At 39.9% G+C, this 24,399-nt stretch overlaps 1 protein-coding gene across 10 annotated transcripts in view; it reads left to right on the top strand.

Moving 5' to 3' along the window:
* FRMD4B (FERM domain containing 4B) overlaps positions 1–24,399 on the top strand; it is a 373,805-nt gene that overhangs the window by 167,929 nt on the left and 181,477 nt on the right. For 2 of the 10 annotated variants that reach the window (XM_005264722.2, XM_017005990.2), the window contains exon 1: positions 20,971–21,114. The exons of 7 other annotated variants lie outside the window; for them this stretch is intronic. In XM_005264722.2, coding sequence (XP_005264779.1) covers positions 21,088–21,114 — 27 coding nt within the window. In that variant the 5' untranslated portion in view covers positions 20,971–21,087. Of the gene's footprint in view, positions 1–9,187; positions 10,445–20,970; positions 21,115–24,399 lie in introns of those variants that run through there. One more of the 10 variants, XM_047447770.1, reaches the window with a different exon arrangement.

The following is a 24,399-nucleotide window of genomic DNA, read 5'->3' as shown; positions in this document are numbered from 1 at the left end:
TGACAGGAAATTGTTAAATTTTCTTCCTCCTAACTCTGACCCTTACTCCATAGTACTAAGAACTCGATATCCTCATGCACAAAAGCTCTAGGACCCCATGTCTGCTATCTTTCCCATCTGTATAAGCTGTCCTCTGATCTGACCCTGAGATTTGCAACTGCTAAGAAGACCTGGTTATTATAAGCATCATGCTACCCTTGGGTAGTGTAGCCAGCAAATATTTTTACAGGAATTAGTTTGTCTCATTAAAATTCGATTAGATGCTTATTACCTAAGAGAGAAAAGGTCCTTGATAAAATAGGGAAATAGAATGGGCTAGAGCCAGCTGAACCTGGGATAAAAATAAAATCTCCATCACTTATCGGCTATACGACCTTGAGCCAAGCTGCTTACCCTTTCTAAGCCTGTTTATTTACCTATAAAAAGATAAAATAAGATCTTTTAAGTTTGGTATAAAGGTTAAAGATAACATTGATGGAGAAATAGTAGCTCTTCAAATGTAAAAATTTGGACCCCTTGCAAAGACTTGATCCTAAGCCAAAAGTTATCATGCTAGAGTGCAAACTCTGACCAGGATTTAAGCCCAAACACCCTACTTAATAGGTGTGTGACATGGACAAGTTACTTGACTTCTTGGTGCCTCATTTTATCTTCTGTAAGATGAGGAAATAATAGTGCCTACCTACCAGGGTTGGTGAGGGGACAAAACAAGATTATCTAAATGAAGATTTCACTAGGCTGCCTGGCTCATCTTAAGCATTTATTAATCGATTGATTGATTGATTGAGACAGGGTCTTATTTTGTGTCTCAGGCTAGAGTGCATTGGTGCAATCATAGCTCACTGCAGTGTTAAGCTTCTGGGTTCAAGTGATCCTCTCGCCTTAGCCTCTCAAGTAGCTAAGACTCCAGGCGCGCCACCACACCCAGCAATTTTTTGTATTTTTTTATTTTTTAGATGGGATCTTGTTGTTGCCCAGGCTGGTCTTGAAATCCTGCCCTCAAGCAATCCTCCCACCTCAGCCTCTCAAAGTGCTGGGATTACAGGCATGAGCCACCATGCCTGGCCAGTTATATTTATTTAATAAACATTTCTCTATATGTCAGACACAGTGCTGAGCATTTTGTATTCACCATTTTATTTAATTCTTCTAATGATGTTAAATAGGTATAATTAAACTCATTTGGCAAATATAGAAATTGTTCACAGTTGTTAATTAATTTGTTCATGAGCAAAGATTGGAGCTTAGATGTGTCTAAATCCTAATCTCATCCACTTGAGTCATTGAATGAGATGAACTTAGTTTGCCACTTACCTAAAGTCAGCCTCTTCCTTTTCTACATTTACCTACATTTCTTTCTAGCACTCTCCTAGTCTCTAATCTCTCCCTCTACCAAACTCTGTAAACATAGCTGGATTTGATAAACTCATTTAAACTAAAGTAAAAAGGGTCGGTAAAACTGCCACATCTATTCTTTAAGTAGCCTTTCCACTTCAAAAGAAGAAAAAGTCTTTGGTGAAGTTGTTAATTTCTAATTGCAAACATGCAAGCATCTACAAACACCTGGCTGAGAGTTCTCTCTCCTCCTCTCACCCCAGTTATCCCTAAAGTCAAATCATGGAGGTGTTTGCATCAGCACAAGGGAATCCTTGTAAATCTTAGGGGTTTAAGTGCACAGACACTAGAACCACACTGCCTGAGTTCAAATCCCAGCTTTGCTACCCATTACGTGTATAACCCTGGGCAAGTTACTCCATGTCTGTGCCTCATTTTTAAATTGGAGATATTAATATTATACCTGCCTTCTAAGGTAATGGTGAAAAATAAATGAATATTTATGTATGTATACATGTAGGTATGTACACACATATACACACATATATAATGCTTAAAAAGAGTGGACCATAATACACACTGGATATCATCATTTAAACTACCATTCTATCAGATATCATCATTTATTGTTTGTTTGTTTATTTATTTATTTGTTTTTGAGACGGAGTCCTGCTCTGTTACCCAGGCTGGAGAGCAGTGGCATGATCTCAGCTCACTGCAACCTCCACCTCCCAGGTTCCGGTGATTCTCCTGCCTCAGCCTCCCAAGTAGCTGGGATTACAGGTGCGTGCCACCACGCCCAGCTAATTTTTGTATTTTTAGCAGAGACGGGCTTTCTCCATGTTGGCCAGGCTGGTCTCGATCTCCTAACCTCGGGTGATCCGCCCACTTCAGCCTCCCAAAGTGTTGGGATTACAGGCATGAGCCATCACACCCAGCCTCATTGTTTATTAAAGCACTTTTTATTGAGCAATATTTATTACCTTCCAGGCACTTTTCTGGGCACTTGGGATACAACAGCATAACAGACAGAGGTAGGCCCTGCCCTTGTGGAGCTCAGAGTCCACTGGGGATGAAGCTGGCAAGGGAGAAATGTGACAAAAGGCTTCTTTCCGAGGTTTTATTAATGTCAAGACTCAAAGGATGAGAAGGAGCTTGGCACGTGCAGACCAAGGAGAACAGCATTCCAAGTGGAGTTAATGGCAGACGCAAAGACACTGAGGCAGGAAAGACCTTAGGATGTTGTAGGAATGGAGAGCACAGTGGAGTGGCCAAAGTGTTGCAAGAAATGTTAAGGTCATGAGAGGTGGGTTTGGCAAGGCAGCAGAGATTAGATCACACGGTGCCCTGGTGTTCTAGAGTTTGCAGTAAGTGTGGTGGGAAGCCATTGAAGATGTTTCAAATGTGGAAATAACTTGTGCATTCATTTCAACAAATATATACTGAGGGCCTATTACATTCTAGGCCTGGTCGAGGCAGTGGAGATACAGCAAGAAACCAACAAGAAGCTCTGCCCTCTCAGAGCGTACTTTGTAGTCAGCTATTTGTCAGTAAATGGCAACTCCATTCTTCCGGGTGCTGAAGTGAAAACCTTGGCTAGTTTTCAACACTTACATTCTACTTCTAACCCATCAGCAAATCCCTTTGGCTCTACCTTCAAACTATATATCCACTTATCATCTTCATCACCATGATCCTGGGGCCAAGCCACCCTCATTTCTTAGCTGGTTTGTTGCAATAGCTTCCTAACTGGTCTCTCTGCAAATGCCAACCGCCCCTGCAGTGTTTTCTCAACCCCACCTCCAGTGCGATTTTGTTCAAAGTAAGTCAGATCGTGTCATTTTTCTGTTCAGATCCCTTCAATGACTTCCCAACTCTGAGAAACAACCTGGCCTTACTATCTCTACAAGGCCCCTGTGTGTCTGTGTGATCAGTATTCCTTCTACCTAGGCTCCTCCCAACTCCTGCCTCAGTTCCAGCAAACACACCCAAACTCTGGTCTTAACTCCCAGCACCCTTCCCCTCTTTAACGCTTCTCCAGCAACCCTGGCCTCCTTGCTGTCCCTCAAACCTGCCAAGCACATTCCAGCCTCAGAGTTGTAGCCCACAGAATGTTGTCTGCCTGGAATCTCATTCCTGAGAAGTCTACATGATGCTTACCCCATCACTTCCTGTAGGTCTCTTCAAATGTCACCCCAACCAGGGAGGTGACTCCCAACCATGTCTTAGCCTGCTTTATTTTTCACTGTAATCCTTTTCACCACACCACCTGACTCTATGAATATATTTGTTCATATGCTCATTTCCCCTGCCAGAACGTTATTCATAGCTGAAGGCATGCAGGGGACTTCACTGTTAGAATCCTCAGTGCCTGGAACAGCACCTGGAACCAAAAATGTGCTTCAGAAATACTTGTTGATTAAATGAACAAATGAATCTACTTTACACTTTAAGAAGCCTGCTCCAGCCACTCTAGGGAGAATGACTTAAAAGGCATAAGAGCGGTCAGGAGGCCATTTCAGATCTCCAGCTGAGAGACGATGGGGACCCGGGCAAGGGTAGAGGCAGCACATGATATGAGAAGACACCAAGCATTTGGAGGAGGAGAAAGCAGCATTAGCAGAACTCTGCCCGAAGGCAACGTTTGCATTCCGTGAAGCTTTAGAAACCTCATGTGGGGAAAAAGCCATGTATGTTGAAATACATTTGTATGTGTGGGTTTATTCTTTTTCATTATTGAAAATAGCCCACGCCAGTGTAAGCTGATTGAGAATACATTCGTTTGGCTTCTCTAACGACCATTTCATCAGAAAAGCATTGCTTTAGATAGCAGAGTAGCTTATTTCCTCTAACCCTGGTGCCAGTGGGCTCCCTCAAGGACACCAGCTTGTGTGTACTGCCAGCTGCAAGTACCCACCCGTGCCCAGCCCAGGGCGGGGACCTTGGCAGCTTCTGCAGTTCTTGTCAGCCCTGAGTGTCAAGCGATCGCTATTTCCTGCACCCGGCCCTGTGGTTGGGCTCTGGAAGGTGCCCTGTTTTTCCTGACAGACATTTCAGACCGTTTGCTCTCTTTTTTTTGGCATTTCTATGTACGTTTTTTAATCATTCTGACCCTGTCTCAGGTCTTTCCCATCCACTGGAGTTAAAGGATGAACGGCCCTTCTGATTGGATTTTCCTGGATTCTTAGGAGCAAAAGAAAAAAAAAAAAACAGGAACAAAAGCAAAAGCAAAATTTATTTCTGGCCTTTATTAGTGTTTAATTAAAAGCTTGCTTTCCCCAACTCTTTGGCTGTGTTCAAGCTTTTCAAAATTCTGCAAGCACAGACAATATAGAGAGAATTTGACTCTTTAAGTTACAAGAGCTGCTTATTATGTCTAATTAGCACCATCAAATAATGACGGAATCTGCCATCATCATTGCTAAAGAAAAAAGTCATACCAGGTATTTCCCAAATGTTTCTCAGGAGAAAGTACCTTTTCTTTTAATAAATAGGCTACTACCAATTTTTAAATGAATTCAGTGTTTAAGTTAGAAACAATTTTGGTCAGGATACAAAGAATCTTAACTGTCAAATCATACTTAAATTTATGAAGCTATTTCTTCCTTAGGATTTTTATATTTTGAACTTTCTAGGTATTGATGCCAGATATAGTTCCAGCCGAGCTCATAAGATTTTGCTCTCAAATTCTTTTTGGGAATGAGATTTTTTTATTTTTTAGTGAATGTGTTTTTCCTTCAATAAACTTCAGAAACCAACTCTGAGTTTCAAAAATCTTTTTTTTCTTGAGATGTTAGTGCCAGAATCTGAACAGTCTCCTTTATTCAGCACACAGTTGCATCAGTTTAATTTTTTCAGGCTTATATACTAAATTAGGTTACAAAAATTCACCACACTTTTATCTGTGCATTGTGTTTTAAGTAAATCAAATTTAATTATGTTCTTTCTACCCTTTTTTCTTTTCTCCTGGCCTTTTCTTTGTTTTTTCTCTGAGCTAAATAGGTCATGCTTAAATCTATGAAGAAATAAATATGTGTGCATACTTAATGTATGACATATGAAAAATGTACAAATACATGTATGTATTTATGTATAGATAGGACTGTGTATCTGAAGTTTTTCCAGAAAGTAAAACCATGAGCCAACATATTCACTAAAGATAGCTTTCGCTTTTTTTCCACCAACCTTCAGCATTACTTTTAAACTTATAGTATGACTCTGAAATCATCAGTGCAAATAATATGGTTAGACTCCATAATAGGTGTATTCTTTAGAAAATTACTATTAATTTTGATGAAGTTTAGCAAATGAAAATTTGATAAACAACTTCATCTGTTTCCTTTGATTAAAAAGAAGAAAACAAGCTGGGCCCTGTGGCTCATGCCTTTAATCCCGGCACTTTGGGAGGCCGAGGTGAGAGAATTGCTTGAGCCCAAGAGTTCAAGACCAGCCTGGGCAACATGGTCAAACCTCATCTCTACAAAAAATACCCAAAAAATTAGCCAGATATGGTGGTGTGTACCTGTAGTCCCAGCTACTCAAGAGGCTGAGGCAGGAGGATTGCTTGAGCCCAGGAGGTTGAGGTTGCAGTGAGCCGTGATTGCACCACTGCACTCCAGAGAGTTATGTGCTGAAGCTCCCACATTATTGGCTTGCCTGGCTTGTCTGTGAAGTGGGAGTATGCCATGGGCTACTTCACTGGGGAGGACTGAGTATCAAGTGTAAGGCAGAAGAGTGAGACATACTCAAAATGTGGCAATTGCATTTGTTCAAGAAGTATGCAAAGCACCTGTCCAAGAACGACAAGGGGGGTAGGCACAGGCTTGAGGGATCTGTGAGAAAAAAGACAGAGGATGTGGCCTGGGAAACCACAGTGCCTTCCTCAGCCACAGCAGCTGCATTCATTATTTACTGCTGTCTAATGTCATCAGTCTGTTCTAATAGATGTTGTAATGGGATGAACAGCTTTATCTGTTTCCTTTGTGTGATTTGCACATATCCTGTGGGAGCTAAGGATATTGGAGTCAGGTGGTATGAGTTCCAATGCTGGCCCACGTCCTTTACTGGCTGGGTAACTCAGAGCATGTTTCTCAACCCATTTGAGCCTCAGTTTCCTCATCTGTAAAATGGGAACATGATATCTCGTGATGTTGTCGGGTTTAAATGGGAGAGTGCCATGTGACTGCTTAAACAGATGCCTAGAACATGAAAAGAACTCAATAAATTATAGTTTAGAAAAAGGCCTTGGCCACGAAAAGAGGTAAAATAAAAAAAGAGAGAAGGAAAAGCATCCCAGAAATGGGACTATAACATGTTTTACATACTGATATATGTCATATAGGTGAAATTACCTAAAATAAGAATGAGAGGAAATGGATATTTTAAAGCAGAAGCATTAAATTATGATTGATCTGATAAATTGTTGCAACCTTTTTATAGCACAGTCTAGTTGTTTCCAGTCAAAATGTAAGATATTTGTTCTCTATGACCAAGCATTTCCATTTCAGGAAATCCTCCTAAGGACATTCTCATGTAATGGCGCACGTGCAAGGATTTTCATATTTTCATATTTCAAATAGCAAAGCAGTGAGAATAAACAGAATAGTTCATTAAATGACAGTACCTCGGTACTATGGGATTCTATGAGATCAGGAGAGAGAATGGAGTTGAAAATTGGCTCAGATAATTGTCAATGATATATTTTTTGGGTAAAAACAAAAATATTGGCCCAGATAATTGTCAATGATATATTTTTTGGGTAAAAACAAAAATATTGGCCCAGATAATTGTCAATGATATATTTTTTGGGTAAAAACAAAAACAAAGTACAAGACAATATATGGGATGTGTACATGTGTATGTATATATGTATGTATGTGTATTGTTATGGATATATGCAAGCAATGTGTGTATGTATGTGTTCATGTATGTGTGGAGGGATGGGGCTGGACATGTATAGCCCAAATTATTAATAAATAATTTTTACCTCTGGGAAGTGTAAGTGGATGAAGGAGAAGTTTCTGCTTCTCTTACTTTCATATTATTCTGAAATCAAATATTTTATAGCAAGAATATCTATAATATTTTTACAATTTTGTAAAATGTCCTATTCAAAACATTTGATCCAGGCTCTTGTGTAGACCATTTCTGGAGAATAAAGATCTGTTTAATTTAACTTTGTGTCCATTCACACAGTGCCAGAAGGTAGTAGTGTCTCCAAGTGTTTGTCTAGTATGTCCATTTAAAAATGATTGTTCACTTGGCACGGTGGCTCATACCTGTAAACCCAACACTTTGGGAGGTTGAGATGGGTGGATCACTTGAGTCCAGGAGTTCACGACCAGCCTGGGCAACATGGCAAAATTTCATCTCTACAAAAAATACAAATTAGTCGGGCATAGTGGCAACACCTGTAGTTCTAGCTACTCAGGAGGCTGAGGTGGGAGGATCACTTGAGCCCAGGAGGTTGAGGCTGCAGTGTGCTGTGATCATCCCACTGCACTCCAGCCTGGGCAACAGAGTGAGACCCTGTCTAAAAACAAAACAAAACAACAAGAAAAATACAAAGACTATTAATTATTATTGATATGAATACTATTGAAAAAAAAGGTCGTGTTTGTGCTCTTTTAAGAACTATAGAGTTTTTATCATTAAAGCAACATATGTTAATAAATTTAATTGTTAGAGATATGCATGGCTTAGAACATGAAGGTTCTTTAATGGTTATTAACAGGGCATATATTTGCCAGATATTTTCTAAACCTATAGTGACATACATATCATATCATTATAATATAAATTTTTACAGAGGTGAGATCACCCTATACTTACCTGGCAGGGGAGATACCATGATCACGAGGTGAGATCACCCCACATAATTTATTCTAAAATGTATTTACTTACATGTCTTACATACTGATATATGTCATTATTTTTAATAAGTGTTGTATATTCAATGGTATGAATGAACCATAATTAATTTTTAATAATTACATCAGTCTCCTATTGATGGACATTAAGTTGTTGTCAATTTTTTTTGTTTTTGTTTTTGTTTTTGTTTTTTGAGACAGAGCCTTGCTCTGTTGCCTAGGTTGGAGTGCAGTGATGCAATCTCGGCCCACTGCAACCTCCGCCTCCTGGGTTCAAACAATTCTCCTGCCTTAGCCTCCCAAGTAGCCGGGATTACAAGCCTGTGCCACCATGACCAGCTAATTTTGTGTGTGTGTGTGTGTGTGTGTGTGTGTGTGTGTGTGTGTGTGTGTTTTGTAGAGGTGGGGTTTTTCCATGTTGGCCAGATTGATCTCAAACTCCTGGCCTCAAATGATCTGCCCCCTCCTCAGCCTCTCAAAGTGCTGGGATTACGGGCATAAGCCACCATGCTTGACCTGTTTCTAATTTTTACTAAGACAATGCTACAGTAACCATTCTTATACATAAAACATTTGTGGGAGCATTTCTGTGAAGTGAATACTTTGAAATGATATTGCTGGAATTTGGAAGGAATTTGGTTTTCCGAAAATTCCACAGCTGAGTGCGGTGGCTCACACCTGTAATCCCAGCACTTTGGGAGGCCGAGGCGGGTGTATCACTTGAAGTCAAGAGTTCAAGATGAGCCTGGCCAACATGGTGAAGCCCCGTCTGTAATAATACTAAAATTAGCCAGGCGTGGTGAAGTGCGCATGTAATCCCAGCTATTCAGAGGCTAAGGCAGGAGAATTGCTTGATTCGGGAGGCAGTTTGTGGTGAGTCGAGATTGCTTCACTGCACCCCAGCCTGGGCAACAGAGCAAGACTCCATCTCAAAAAAAAGAAAAAAAACAAAGGTTGTATCTATTTATGCTACTACCAAGTGAATAAGAATCATTCTTGTCCACATTCTAGCTAGCAACTTTGATTTATACCAGTCTGCTGGCCAAAAATGTACATTTTATTTGTTTTTATTTTACTTCATTTATTAGTAGAGATGTCCAATTTCCATAACTTTCTTAAGGACCATGATACTTGGAATACTGGAGTTGTTCTTGCCCGATAACATTGGGGGAAACACATACTGTGTTTTGTCACAGTATAAATTGGTTTGAGAACAATTTTAGAGCCAGACTTGAGAGCAGGTTTTAGTCTCCTAGAGAATATTTGTCATCTCAGAGTGATATGGAATTTCCTTGTATAGTTAAAATAGGTTTATATAGAGCATTGCTGGTTAAAACCCAAGTGCCATAAAGATAGATGTTCACACAGCCTCTCTGTTATGCACTAAAATCTTAAGCTTTAGAAATGGCTGAGAATAGTTATTGCTTTTTATAATCACTATACTATTCGGTTTCATATTGTGGTTTCCTCCTTTACTGTTTAGTGAATTTCAGCAATTTTGTTTTATCTCTTCTGTAAATGGCCTAAACTTCATTTAGATGAACTGAGAAGGAATCACCAAGGCCTTTATTTATTTTTTTAAAAAAACAAGTGAGAAAGCTTGGGGTAGGAGAACAGAATGCTGCACCATTTATTTTTTCTTTTTTGTCTTAGATGCCCAGGGGTTTTTGAGCTTCTTTGGCCATCTAAATTCATATTTATTAACTTAAATATAATTTAACCAGAGTCGAATTGTCTCGATGAGATTTCATAGCCACGAGCGACCATGAAACTGTCATTTGTCTCATTTGGGGAGGCACCAGAACTGATTACTCAGGAGATGATTGAAACTGCTGATCCCATTAATGCCATGGTTATTCTGGAGATAGTGCCCTGAGGGTGAAGATGGGTTGACCCACAGATTTGTTTGTATATAGACTTTAACCAGAGCCAGGCTGACTCAGAGGCAAACTGGAATTGCTGCAGGAAGTTTCCCAATGAATGTTTTTGTCATATTTTTTAGCTGCTCACTCACCACTGGCATACCATTAGCACCCAGTCTCCCTTCTGGAGGTGCCCACCAGGCAGATGGCAAAATGGCAGGTCCCAGCGCATGCTTCCTGCCGTGGCCACCAAGGGGCCAGCTTGTCCTCTGTCTGTCCCCTGGTTCAGCTTGGCTAAACTTGCATGTTCCTGTCTTCTGAGTTTGAGCTAAAAGGACAGGATGTTTGGAAGTCAGAATCATCAAGGCAGTAACTGAGGTGAGTGGGACAGGCAAGATAGTCGCGTGACATAACTTGTTACTTTGCTCCCTGTGGGTTCTCTTGTTTTGTGTTCATTTTCTAAGCCTGATTTAAACATCCATTCTTTGCTTCTTTCATCCTGAGAGGCCTGATTTGGTTCAGGGATCAATATCACCCCCTTGCCCATATAACTTGGGTAAATACTGATTGATTGGTCTCTAACCCAGTGCTTCCCTACTTTCTCTGATGTCATAGAATACACAGAAAATGATAGTGTTTGTGTGGCACCTGGAGTAAATGGAAGAAGCTGCTCAGGCTGGAGGTGATCACCAAATTGTCTCTGGCTGCCTCCAGTCCTGAAAAGACCAATAGCTCAGTACACCTGTTGCCTCAGTACACTGGTTTTGAAGCTGTGGTTGAAGCTAGTCATGATGACCTTATTCCTCTGCCAGGGATTGGTTAAGGGTAAACATAGGACCCAGCTCTGGTCAATGGGGAGCCATTTCTTAAAAAGCTGTCTGTTCTTGAAAATAGGCATGGCTGGGCCAGGTGCAGTGGCTCACGCCTGTAATCCTAGCACTTTGGGAGGCCAAGGCAGGCGGATCACGAGGTCAGGAGATTGAGACCATCCTGGCTAACATGGTGAAATTCCGTCTCTACTAAAAATACAAAAAATTAGCCAGGCGTGGTGGCAGGCGCCTGTAGTCCCAGCTACTCGGGAGGCTGAGGCAGGAGAATGGCGTGAACCCAGGAGGCGGAGCTTGCAGTGAGCTGAGATTGTGCCACTGCACCCCAGCCTGGGCAACAGAGCAAGACTCCGTCTCAAAAAAAAAAAAAAAGGCATGGAGGCCAGGTGCAGAGGCTCATACCTATGATCCCAACACTTTGGGAGGTCAAGATGGGAGGATCACTTGAGCTCAGGAGTTCAAGACCAGCCCGGGCAACATGGCAAGACCCATCTCTATTTAAAAAAAAAAAAAAAACATGGTAAAAAGAAGTGATCCTTTTTTTTGGAGTGGAGATGTGAGAGCTTCAAGGATGGCAGCTATATTGCAACCATGAGGGAATGTTACGTAAGAAGAATGGGCCGGGTGGAAAAATAGAAGAAGCCTGGGACTTTTACGATATTGCTAATCTGTTGACCTCACCAACCTTGGCACTGCCCTACCTGGAGATACTGAGAATATAGATCCATATTATTAAAGTTATTTTCACTTTTTGTTTGTTTTTTTTTTTTTTACTGTAAAAAGCATTCTGATACAATATAAGCTCAGGACTTGAAGGTCAGGACTTATAGAAGAATTGTCCAACAACAACAACAAAAGTATTCAAAATGAAAAACTTTTTAGGAAACATATAATAAAAATTGGAGATGTGCTGATATAAGGAAAATGTTTAAGTTCAGAATAAGATGGGCAGGAATAGAAAGAAATTGTTTAAAATTCACAGTTCTTTATTTTAAAAAGTATGGGATTTTTAAATTAACATGATAGTTTGTTTTTGTTTTTTGTTTGTTTTTTTGGGGGGGGGGTTGGCTTTTTGTTGTTGTTGTTTTGAGATGGAGTCTCACTCTGTCACCCAGGCTGGAGTGCAGTGGCACGATCCCGGCTCACTGCAACCTCCGCCTTCCAGTTTCAAGCGATTCTCCTGCCTCAGCTTCCTGAGTAGCTGGAATTACAGGCATGCGCCACCGTGCCCAGCTAATTTTGTACTTTTAGTAGAGATGGGGTGTTACCATGTTGGTCAGGCTGGTCTCGAGCTCCTGACTTCGTGATAGTTGTCTTAACCAGAAATATTTACCAGTGTCTCAGTGAAATGCTAGAGAACTGGAAAGGATTCCAATTAACAATTGTGAGAGGCAGAAGAGCACACAAGTCAAGAGCCTGAAATTTGGAGCCAAACTGTGTAGGTTCAAAGCCTTCATCTGCTACTTCCTGGCTGTGATTTCATGTAAGTTATTTAACCTCTCTATGCCTCAGTGTTCTCATCTGTAAAATGGAGATAATAATAATAGTCCCGACCTCAAAGTTATTGTGGAGTTTATATTTATAATAAACAGGAACAGAGTATGGCACATATGAAGTACTATATAAGTGCTTGTTATTATTAATCTACAATTATCACCTAAACCTATACCTGTGCAAACAAAAAGTCACTTAAACACAAATGCTTCTACTACTTCACAGTCACTAAAATAACTAAAATTAAGAAGACCTATAATACCACATTTTGGCAAAGATGTGGGATAACCAGATCTCTCATATATTGGCAGTGTAAAATGGTATGACCTTTTAGGAAATTATTTGGCAGTTAAACGTACATTCATCCTATGATCTGTTAGCTCTATTCATGCACATTTATTCAAGAGAAATGAAAACATATGCATGTGCACACACATGCATACACACACAGCTTGTAAAAGAATATTCATAGCTTATAACTTCTAATACCCCCAAACTGAGAACAACTGATTTCCATTAACAAGAGAGGAGATAAATAAACTATACTATATTCATGCAATGGATACTACTCAGCGATCAGAAAATGAATGAATTGCTAATACATGCAACACCATGAATGAATATCAAAAACATTTTGCTCAGTAAAAGAAGCCAGGTATTAAAAAATACATACTCCATAATTCAATTTGTATGAAGTTCTACAACAGGAAAAACTAATCTATTGTGATAGAAATCTGAATAGTGGTTGTTATGGGAGGTAGGGAAAGATTGGCAGAGGTAGCTTTCTGGAAAAGTTTTATATCTTGGGGGGGATGTGGATAACATGGCTGTAATACCTAAAATATGTATTTTTATTATGCATCATTTATAGTGTAATTTTCTAAATGAAACAAAAAGCAGTAACAGACACTGCCCAGGTTTTGAGTAGTAAATGCACAAGATGAGCATCTTTTTATCCCAGGTAGCAAGGAAGCTGACAAATACTACTGGTAGCAAGGAAGCTGACAAATACTACTAAAACCATGTCACAAGGACTTGGAAACTGGCTTGAAGAGGCTCTCACTCACCAAAATGGCCCAATCTGAATATCAGTAAAGAAAATTTTAAAAAAAGAAAATAACTTTAATGGATTGAAACACATAAATTATATTTAAATGCATATGTTCATAATGACAAAATGCACTTTGACCACCCTTGAAAGTACCCAACTCGTTATTTTGGAAACTGGCAAATAAAGATAAAGAGTCAAACATTTTCTCTGCCTTTCTTGTATGAATTATACTACTGGGTAACCAATTAATAGATAAGGAAAAAAATCTCTCATTATAGAAATATTCTCACTAGTAAGTAAGGGATAATAGAATTAGAATGCCATCATACTGCCACTTCTAATTAATTAAATGATATAGCTGTTGAGCATTAGCAGCTGCTAATGTCACAAAAAGAAATGGCTCTTCTAATGAAAAAACACAAGTGGCGACCTATGAGATAGTATTGCCAAAAAAGATCTAACTGAAATCTGATAAAGCCTTGGGACTCAACCAACCTACAGGAACCATGGTAAACAGAGGAACATTTAAGTGACACCAAGGGAATGCAATCAGCAAAACTTAGGTGCTAGGAGAATTTACAGGATAAACAGCCTAGTTTCTTCAACAAATGAATTGCAATGAGAGAGAGAGGAGAGAAAAAGAGAGAGATGGATGGAACAGGAACCTGTAGGTTAACAGAGACCTAAGGAAAATATCAACCAGTTGCAAAATGTGGAGCTTTTTTTTATTTTGATTCAAACAAACTTGGGGAAAAAAGACATTAATCAGATAATTGGATATTTGAAGACTAGAGATCTGATGATATTAAGGAATTACTGTTAACTTTTTTAAGTATTTAGGGTTATGTTTAAAAAAGAGTCCTTATCTTTTATATTGAATTATTTACAGATGAAATTACTTAAGTCTTGGTTTTGCTTCAAAATAATACATATAGGAGGACAGAAAGTAGGCAAGAATATAAATGAAACAATATTAGCCAGGTGTTGATAACTTGAAACTAGGTGGAAAAATGGGAGGTGGTTATGACACTGGTCTTTGACTTTTTGTGTGTACTTGAAATTTTCCACTACAAAAACTTTTTTGTTTTGGTTTTAAAGGAATACAAAGGGAGAGAGAAAGGGGAAAACAAAACTCCAGGTTCTGCAGAAAGACAGGAAGGAAATCTAACAGAATGCCTGAGTGTTAACCCCTGGATGCATTCCACCTTGTCTACAATGGCCAAATGGAAAGGCCATTTGTAAGAGCATGGGCCCTGGGTTCAAATCCTGTTCTTCTACCCCCAACTGGGGAGACTTATGCTACCAGACATCTCCGTGCTTCAGTTTCCCATTTGTAAAATGGATTTCAAGAATGAACTTTGAATACCCTTTTCTCTTCATTTTTCCAAACACAGAGATGAGACTCAATTTTACAAAGTTTATGTGCGTCACCTAAAAAACTGCACGTGCCTTATGGTAAAACCAAGTCAAAAGTCATGGCCTTCAACCTGTGAAACAGACAGAAAGGAAACCCCTATCATGCCTGCTTCTCTCCCTACCTCTTTTCATCTCTGTTTTTCCATTTATGGTTAAGAAAACAAGAAAATTCGCCGAGCACAAAAGTTTTCCCTCTTTTTCTGTCTAGAGGGGAATATGAGTAATGAACTTTTCCATCAGGGTTGTTTTTCCTGGACATAGTGCACCCCCTCCAGCTGCTAAAACATGTGATCCTGAAGGAGACCTTAAATAAACTTAAATGTTCCTTATCGGTCAGTCCCAGTTTGTACTAAATTATGAATTAATTTTCTGTATTTGGTACTTTTCCTTTTTAAACAGAAGTTCTATTCATTCAAAATATTAGTTGAGAACTTTCCAGGTTCCACGTGTTATAGCCCTGAACAAGGCAGAAATGGTCCTGAAACCAACTAACCTGTGGCTGGCTCTTTCCTGACCTCCAGTCTTAATCCAGGAGCTCACTCTCCCCATACAGCGTTCTCCACCCCTCTTTATCATGTCCTCCTGCTTTATTTTCCTCCTAAGTCTTACTCTTGTCTGAAATTACCTCATTTATGAATTAAATTATTTTTTGTTTCATGCCACCCTCTGGATACCTCTCCTGCTCACTGCTGTTCCCCCACCACTTAGCACCATGCCCAGCAGAGCTAGCTACATAATTTACCAGACTCTACATATCTTTTCTGTGTCTATAGCCAAATACCACAGACTGGGTAATTTATAAAGAAAACAGATTTATTTGGCTCATGGTTCTGGAGGCTGGGAAGTCCAACAACATGGCACTGGCATCTGGCAGGGTCATCCCATGGCTGAAGGCAGAAGGGTGCACAGGTTCACAGGAAGAAACAGGAAAAATGTGGGCTGAACTTATCTTTTATTAGAAGCCCACCTCCATGATAACTCATCTACTTCTGTGACAATGAATTAATAATCCATTATCATGTCTTGAAGGTCCCACTTCTTTTTTTGTTTGTTTATTTGTTTGTTTTTGAGGCAGGGTCTCACTGTGTCACCCAGGCTGAAGTGTAGTGGCAGAGTCTTGGCTCACTGCAGCCTCAACCTCCCAGGCTCAAGTGATTCTCCTACCTCAGCCTCCTGAGTATCTGGGACTATAGGCGCATGCCACCACACTTGGCTAATTTTTGTGTATTTTGTAGAGATGGAGTTTCACTATATTGCCCAGGCTGGTCTCAAACTCCTGAACTCAAGCAATCTGTTTTTTTTGGCTTCCCAAACTGCTGGGATTACAGGCATGTGCCCCCCGGATCTGGCCAGTCCCACCTCTTAATACTGTGAAAATGGCAATCAAATTTTAACATGAGTTTTAGTGGGGACATTCAAACCATAGCACAATGCAAAATGAAAATGTGGGATTCCTTGTTCAAAAATGATTAAGAATTGTGAGACAGCAGAACACTAAACCAAGCATGAGGCCCTTCTGAGCACTGAATCCTGTGGGCCTACATAGGCCACACACCCAGCTCTGACATCCAATACCTGATAGACATTCAAAAAATAATTACTGCAGTGAATGCAAATTTAAGAAAAATCATCAGGTATCCAAGGAGCTCTGACATACAGATTGATAAAAGATTAAAAACAGAAACCAGCATGTGTGTGAAAGAAATGTGTAATTCCTCAATTGCAGAGTTGACTATGAGGTGACAAATAAAGTGATTACTCTTCTCTTTTTGAGAGATGCCAGGTCCAGGCTGCAAATTTTTCGAAGGTCAGAACCATGGTGTTTTCATATTTGACTTCCTTGTAAGGCCTCTGCATGTATTTGATGCTCAAGAAATATTTGAACTGAAACTGAATTGTTTCTAGAGGCTGAATTAGAGAAGGATGAGAAGTTATGAGGAAATATTTTTTCTTTAGTGCAAACCTCACTAAATTTAGGAGGAGATGAGCTGGTCTTCAAGTTTGTCCTCTTACTTTATGACAAATGGTTTAGTGCTATGCCCAGCTGTCAGAATTTTGGAAAACTGCAATACATTGCCTCTGTTGTGATTTTATGGTGCGTCTGGCATTCATTCAGTATGTGAAATGTTCTGTGATGAAAGTGATAGTTTTGAGATAAAACGCAAAGCTTCTCCTAAAGACAAAAATTGGGATCCTGCTTCCACAAATTTTTCCTTAAATTGGTGGACATATTTCCTTTATTCCACCCTCACAGTCAATAAAACCCTCCACAAAGTCACCAATACATATGTACAAGCTCACCAGTTAGGTGATCATCCAACTGTGTCACAATTTGTATTTTATAGGCACAGTTTCACATATAAGCTCATATTTCATTTGGACCTATTCCAGGATATAGTTTCATTTTCAACGGGACTCCTAAACAGGGCTCCCCAAGTCTACATTCCTGAATCCCAGGTTAAGCCCTGCCTTGTATCTGGCTGCACGGCAGAAGGCATTTGGAAGAACATTTGTTTCAAGTTGGATATAGCATCAGCTTTGCCACTGTCCCATTCTGGCCTTTGAATGCCAGTTATCTGGGACCCCTTCTGATTTACTGATTACAAAACTCCTATCTGATACCCTACTACTGCAGGAATTATCCATTTCCTCACGACTGAATCCCTGGCACCTATGCCCTTGTCCCGTCTTTGCACCTAGAGCCCCACCAAACTCTCCAATCCTGTGTTTATAAGCACCCACATTCTTGAACAGTGTTGGTCAGTGGACTAATGGTGTCAGATTCCAATTATCCTTTCTCACACAAACTGACATATTAGATAGGATATTTTTGTTTGCAAATAAAGTTTTGTTTAAAAATCAGAACCAGCTTGAGCAGAAACGGAAATTATAGACTCAGTAACTGAAAAGGCCAGGGAATGACTTCAGGTTCAATGGCATTTCATAATTCAGACAGTGACATTGGAGTATGTCTCTCTCCAACTCTTCTGTCTGGCATGAGGTTTCCTGGTAGCCCCAGATTTTCATCCAAGCAACTTTGTAACTCCAGAACAAACAAAAACAAAGATACTTCTTCTCTGATCCCTATGACTAATGGGTATGGGGTGTATTAGTAAGGGTTCTCTAAAGGGACAGAGTTAATAGGATATTATATATATATGTATATATATTATATATATGTATATATACGTGTGTGTATATATGTATGTGTGTGTGTATATATATATCTATATATAAAGGGGAGTTTATTAAGTATTAACTCACATGATAACAAGGTCCCACAATAGGCCGTCTGCAGGCTGAGGAGCAAGGAGAGCCAGTCCGAGTCCCCAAACTGAAGAACTTGGAGTCTGATATTCCAGGTCAGGAAGCATCCAGCACGAGAGAAAGATGTAGGCTGGGAGGCTAGGCCAGTCTTGTCTTTTCACATTTTTCTGCCTGCTTTATATTCTGGCCACAGCGGCAGCTGATCAGATGGTGCCCACCCACATCACGGGTGGGTCTGCCTTTCCCAGCCCACTGACTTAAATGTTAATCTCCTTTGGCAATACCCTCAGAGGCACACCCAGGATCAATACTTGGCATCCTTCAATCCAATCAAGTTGACACTAAGTATTAACCATCACATGGGGGTAGAGTGATTTTATTGGTCAGTCTTGAATCACATATTCATCTTCTTTATATGGGGATATGGGGTTCCCCCCTACCCCCAGTTATTTGGATGGTGTCCCCAAAGAAAAGCGGGGATCCTGTTTCCTAATTTTTTTTCTTTTTTGAGATGGAATCTTGCTTGCTCTGTCACCCAGGCTGGAGTGCAGTGGTGTGATCTCAGCTCACTGCAACCTCCGGCTCCCAGGTTGAAGCAATTCTCCTGCTTCAGCCTCCCGAGTAGCTGGGAATACAGGTGCCGGCCACCACACCTGGCTAATTTTTGTATTTGTAGTAGAGATGGGGTTACGCCATGTTGGCCAGGCTGGTCTCAAACCCCTTACCTCAGGTGATCTGCCAACCTCAGCCTCCCAAAGTGCTGAGATTACAGGTGTGAGACACTGTGCCCGGCCTCCTAATTTTAATACTCCTGGTAGACTCCATCTCTATGTGTTCTCACACCATAACCTGAGCTTACCCAGCCTCCCCCCTAATTTGGTCTGTCAACCTTCATCTGGCCCTCAAGCTGCCCTGGCCTCCTGGTTTTAGCCTTGCCTAATCTAGCCCAACTTGCTGCTGAAACTGGCTATCAACATTCCGATTGTCCTTCAACAGTGAAAACATTTTTACCATACAATCAGAAATGTCCCACTAGTTCTCTCAGTCGACTCTCCAACCCAGTAAGAAAAGGTACCATGTATTGAGTTTTTACTGTTATATATTAACAAATAGAAGGTTCTGTCAAATAAAGTAATACAATAATTCCCCACCTTCCAAACAAGAAGACTCAGGCAAATGTTTTGGGTCAACCTATATAAAATTTTAGAAATGTATATGAAATATTAGAAAATTTACTCCTAATATTAGGAGTGCTCATAACACTTGTTATGCAGATTAATAACTGGAGTGATTTCTGCCTTGTGCTCTCCCTCTTGATAGGATAATTTTATTCAGCTTCTTCATGTGCATGTGTGTGCTGGCACTGGAACAAAAGTCCTCTTTGAGTCATCCTTTTATCACAGCGCAGCATCTCCACTTCTGCCCAAGTTGTTTGAGCTATATAGCACTTTTTCAATCTCCATATATGATGCTTTTCTGGGAATATCATTGCCCAGCTTTTTTTTTTTTCCTTTTTCCATTTATCCTACAAGTATATGTGCATGAAATAATGTTTAAGTAACTTGTTTCTTCTAACATCCAACCCGTCCAATTGGGAGGTCACGTGCTCACAAATAATTACTAAATATGTATTAAACTTTTTGCCACCTTTTCTACTGATATCATCAAGTGACTTCTATTTGCATCCAAACTTAGCATTGACTGAAGTTGTTACAGGCTGCCATGTCTTCCCCAGACAGTATATTGTGGTCATAGTAATTAGAGTCTTTAGAAGGATCTGAAGATAAAGCCACTCCCCGGTTTCTGAGGGATTAACATTTTGTGGGGGTAAAGGGAGGTACCCCACCCTATATTTAGATACCTGTGGTATCTCCCAGGCAAATTCTTTGAGCTTTGCATGAACTATCTCTTTTAATTTCCCCAGCACTCCTGAAGGAGATCAGGATTTTTATCTCCATTTTACAAAGGAGGGAACCAATTCTCAGAAAGATCAAGTAACTTTCCCAAGGATATATACAACTGTAAAACACGAGGTTTCTCTGACTCTAGAGAGTCTTAGAGATTTAATCTTATGGTTATATTCTTAACCATACCATACTCCTGAGCAAAATTCCAGACTGTTCTTTTTTTCAGGAGGGAGAAGCATGATACCCTGTCACAAACTTTTACTTAGTCATTCTCTTTTTTTAAAAAAAGTAAATTTATTATTTTTCCAGTATTCTATATGTTTTTCTCTCTGCCTTCAAGCATAATGTATTTTGATTATTTCCTATTCACTGAATGACTTCAATAGTAATGATTTCATTAAATGCAAATAGTGAAATGAATCTTTTCTGAGACCACGTCATTCTGCCAAGATTTTCTGTTGTGGCTGGCATCTCTGATTGATTTTACTAAGGTTGTTCCATGGAATTCTAAGTTTCTTTCTGAGTGGAAAAGCTGTTAACATCAACTGGCTGTGAGTAGCAAAGTTGAGTTAAATATTGTTTTTATTTATATTCATTAAATTCCCAGCCTCATCCAGAACATGCATAGAAGTTTAGATTCATACATGGCATCGCCTATCTCTGAATAATTACCCAACCTAAAGCTTGCATTATCAAGGAAGTTTAGAAAACAGTAGATGACATTTCATCATATGTTTTAAATGTGTTGTAAAGAAAGCGTTTGAGTGGCCAAAAGAAATAGCAGAAGTTTTTTAGTTGTTTTTATTTTCCCATTTCTCCCGTGACTCATATTGAAAGGCTTTTGTTTCTAATCAAAGAAACAAACAGTATGGTCATTTCCTTGAGATTATATGGCAGCGGAAGGCGTCGGGAGTTTTTAAGTTCCTACTTCCACTGGCTTGTAGTTGGAGAAAATGCAAGCACATGCGCGCACACACACGCGCGCGCACACACACACACACCGCACAAGTGCTTAATACGTGTGTCTTTTGTCTTAAGCACTCTCTTCAGTTCCTTTAAATGAGCCGAGGTCATGGTGGTTCGGAGGTAAGAATGATTTTTTTTTATGATCTTCCAGTTGCAGACTGTGTAACGGTGCTTCTTCAGCTTTGACTGGCATTTCATAGCAAAATCTTGGGCAGATTTTAATATTGTACTGGGGGTGGACTAATCTAAGAACTAATATTGCAGAACCCAACTTGCAGAAAAGGAAATTACAAGAAATGTTTATCTTCACTCTTGTGAAGGAATTACTTTTTCCAAAACGGAGTTGGATGTGCTCTGTTTGATACCAAGTGAAGATGGTCCTTAAAGACGCCCATCGTCTGGAGGGTTTTCCTGTCATTGTTTTAATGCTATCTTTGCTCCTTTAAAGGTCGTGAAAGGCTGATTTCTTATTTTGCTTTAGAACTTTGGCAAATATGAAGTATGTAATTCCACTTCATCACCCTTTCCCCTGCTCCCACCACTCTCCTTTTTTCTTCTTCTTTTTTTTTTTAAATTTTAAATACTGGAGTTTCTTTATGGATGTAGAAAAGACAGAGAGAGGGCAGGAACTGTGTCAGTAAGCAACACAGAAATGCTTTTTGATTTATAATTGTTCATCGTTTCATCAGCAAGATGTGTTTGGGGCCTTCCCTGTTTTTGTGAACACTTGGCAACAAAAATTCCGTGGTGTCCTAGAGCTCATTAGCAGCCCATCTGAAAGGATCCTTTGATGTGGGTCCCTGCTTTGCCTCCAGAAAGAAGAAGGAAAATTGAATTTTGTCCTCCAGTCTAGTTTGTGGTGAGGATTCTATGTGATCAGAATTCAGCAGTTCAAGATAGAAACCTCGGAAATGCCATTTTTGGGGACGGCTTCCAATTAATTAATAAAACTTTTATGATTTGTCAGAGGAAGTCCTACATCCTTATTAAAGGGAAGGTTTTTTTTCTTTGCTGCCTTGTAATGTGGTTATGGCAAACTCATTAAGTCCAACTCCATGTGGCCATTTTTCTTCCTTGATGGGTAGATGTTGATGGTGGAGGGGAGGAATATCTGGGTAAAAAACAAAGGAAATTATCTCATCCAGTAGACTGCAAAACTCCTGGGGATAGAAGGAAGTCTGTAGAGGAAGTGGGCAGGATTGGGTAGAGAAGAGAAACATCAAAGAAATTAAATATATCACAATAGGAACTGGAATAGTACCCTTTTGCTATAATGTAACAACATAATAGTGTAGCCTTAGAAATGAGTCCATTGTCTCTAAATCGGTCCTATCTAAAGGTATCTAATGTCCGAAGGAGTGAAAAGGAATATAATCTTATCCAAATGCAGTCCTGTGACCTGGATTCTCAGAGTGACATTATGGTGACCTAAGGCCTCATTATAAATGATCCTGTTCTGAAGATTCAGGCCATAGAACATCCTGAGAAGTAAGACTATCTTGTTATGCAGCTCTTTCAGGGGTCAGAAACTACAGCTCTTAGCAGAGGGCCTAATATATTCCCAGATATACCAAGTCCCACTCCAGAGCATACTCTGTGTGTTCCACTGTGTTTGATCCTACATTTGAAGTATGCAGGGAAGTTGTTACTACTAGAATGGAGGTTGCTGCAGACAGGTACTATGTCTCACCCATGGAGAGAATTCCCAGTAACTATCAGGAGGCAGGGTGATGGGTGGTGGACAAATATTATTGGCTGAGCAGAATTGTTAGATATATTTATGCCATGGAACATTTAAACCAGAAGAAACCTTGTAAGTCACTTTGTCCAATCTCCTCATTCTGTTACTGAAGAGATTAAAATCCAGAGAAGAGGAGGAATTTTTCTAAGACTTCCTATCCCGTTAGGGGCAGGGCACAGCCTGGATTCTGGATCTCCTGAGTTCCGAATCTATGCTCTGTCCACCCTTTGCCTTTTCTGGGCCAGAGGATGATTTTGCCTAATTTCCAGCATCTCTGAATTTCATGAAGCAAGAGTTTCTTTACATGGGTGCGTGCATCTTGGAATAGAAAAGTGGGAGCTGCATCCAAATGAGATTCTGCTTTCTGTTCTGCATGGTTTCCAATTGCTAGCAGAAGCCTGTGCACAGGTGTGCAAAAGACCCCAGGAAAAGAACTACATGTCTTGTCTCTTATCACAAAAAGCTATAGTGCTAGGTAAAACCATACTAAAACACTTTCTCTTTGTTTCAAAAATATTTTGGCAACCTGAAAATACTAGTGAGCTCTCAGCAGAGGCCTGTCTCGGGATCATAATTCAAGTATGAGACTTACGTTTGTCCCTGAGGTAGATTCTGTGAAGCTCCAATTAAGACTTTTTTCTTGCTTAATGTTGGAAAACTAGAAAAAATTTTAAATGCAATATTTTCCTAAACTGGAAAAGTAAGCCTGAGTACAGGTAAACTATACATTAATATATGTTTATGTGATTTGGCAAGGTTAAACAATCAATTTATTATTCCAATAACAGCAATCTAAGAAAGGAAGGTATTGGGCTTGCTGTATACTTCAGTTGCTTTTTTTTTCCTTAAAGGAAGCTTTTGTAGATCAGGCTGTAAAGGTATGCACACTTCTGTTGTCTTGTATTGGTTTATTTTCTCATTTGGTTTTCTTTTTTTATTATTATTATACTTTAAGTTCTAGAGTACATGTGCACAATGTGCAGGTTTGTTACATATGTATACATGTGCCATGTTGCTGTGCTGCACCCATTAACTCATCATTTACATTAGGTATATCTCCTAATGCTATCCCTCCCCCCTCCCCCCTCCCCACACCCCAAGGCAGGCCCCAGCGTGTGCTGTTCCCCTTCCTGTGTCCAAGTGTTCTCATTGTTCAATTCCCACCTGTGAGTGAGAACATGCAGTGTTTGGTTATTTGTCCTTGCGATAGTTTGCTGAGAATGATAGTTTCCAGCACCATCCATGTCCCTACAAAGGACATGAACTCATTCTTCTTTATGGCTGCACAGTATTCCATGGTGTATATGTGCCACATTTTCTTAATCCAGTCTATCACTGTTGGACATTTGGATTGGTTCCAAGTCTTTGCTATTGTGAATAGTGTCACAGTAAACATACATGTTCATGTGTCTTTAAAGCAGCATGATTTATAATCCTTTGGGTATATACGCAGTAATGGGATGGCTGGGTCAAATGGTATTTCTACTGCTAGATCCCTGAGGAATCGCCACACTGTCTTCCACAATGGTTGAACTAGTTTACAGTCCCACCAACAGTGTCAAAGTGTTCCTATTTCTCCACATCCTCTCCAGCACCTGTTGTTTCCTGACTTTTTAATGATCGCCATTCTAACTGGTGTGAGATGGTATCTCATTGTGATTTTG

This window comes from Homo sapiens, chromosome 3 (assembly GCF_000001405.40).
Source record: "Homo sapiens chromosome 3, GRCh38.p14 Primary Assembly".
Lineage (NCBI taxonomy): Eukaryota > Metazoa > Chordata > Mammalia > Primates > Hominidae > Homo > Homo sapiens.
The sequence above is the reverse complement of the archived record's forward strand: the minus strand, read 5'-3'. Positions and strand labels throughout refer to the sequence as shown.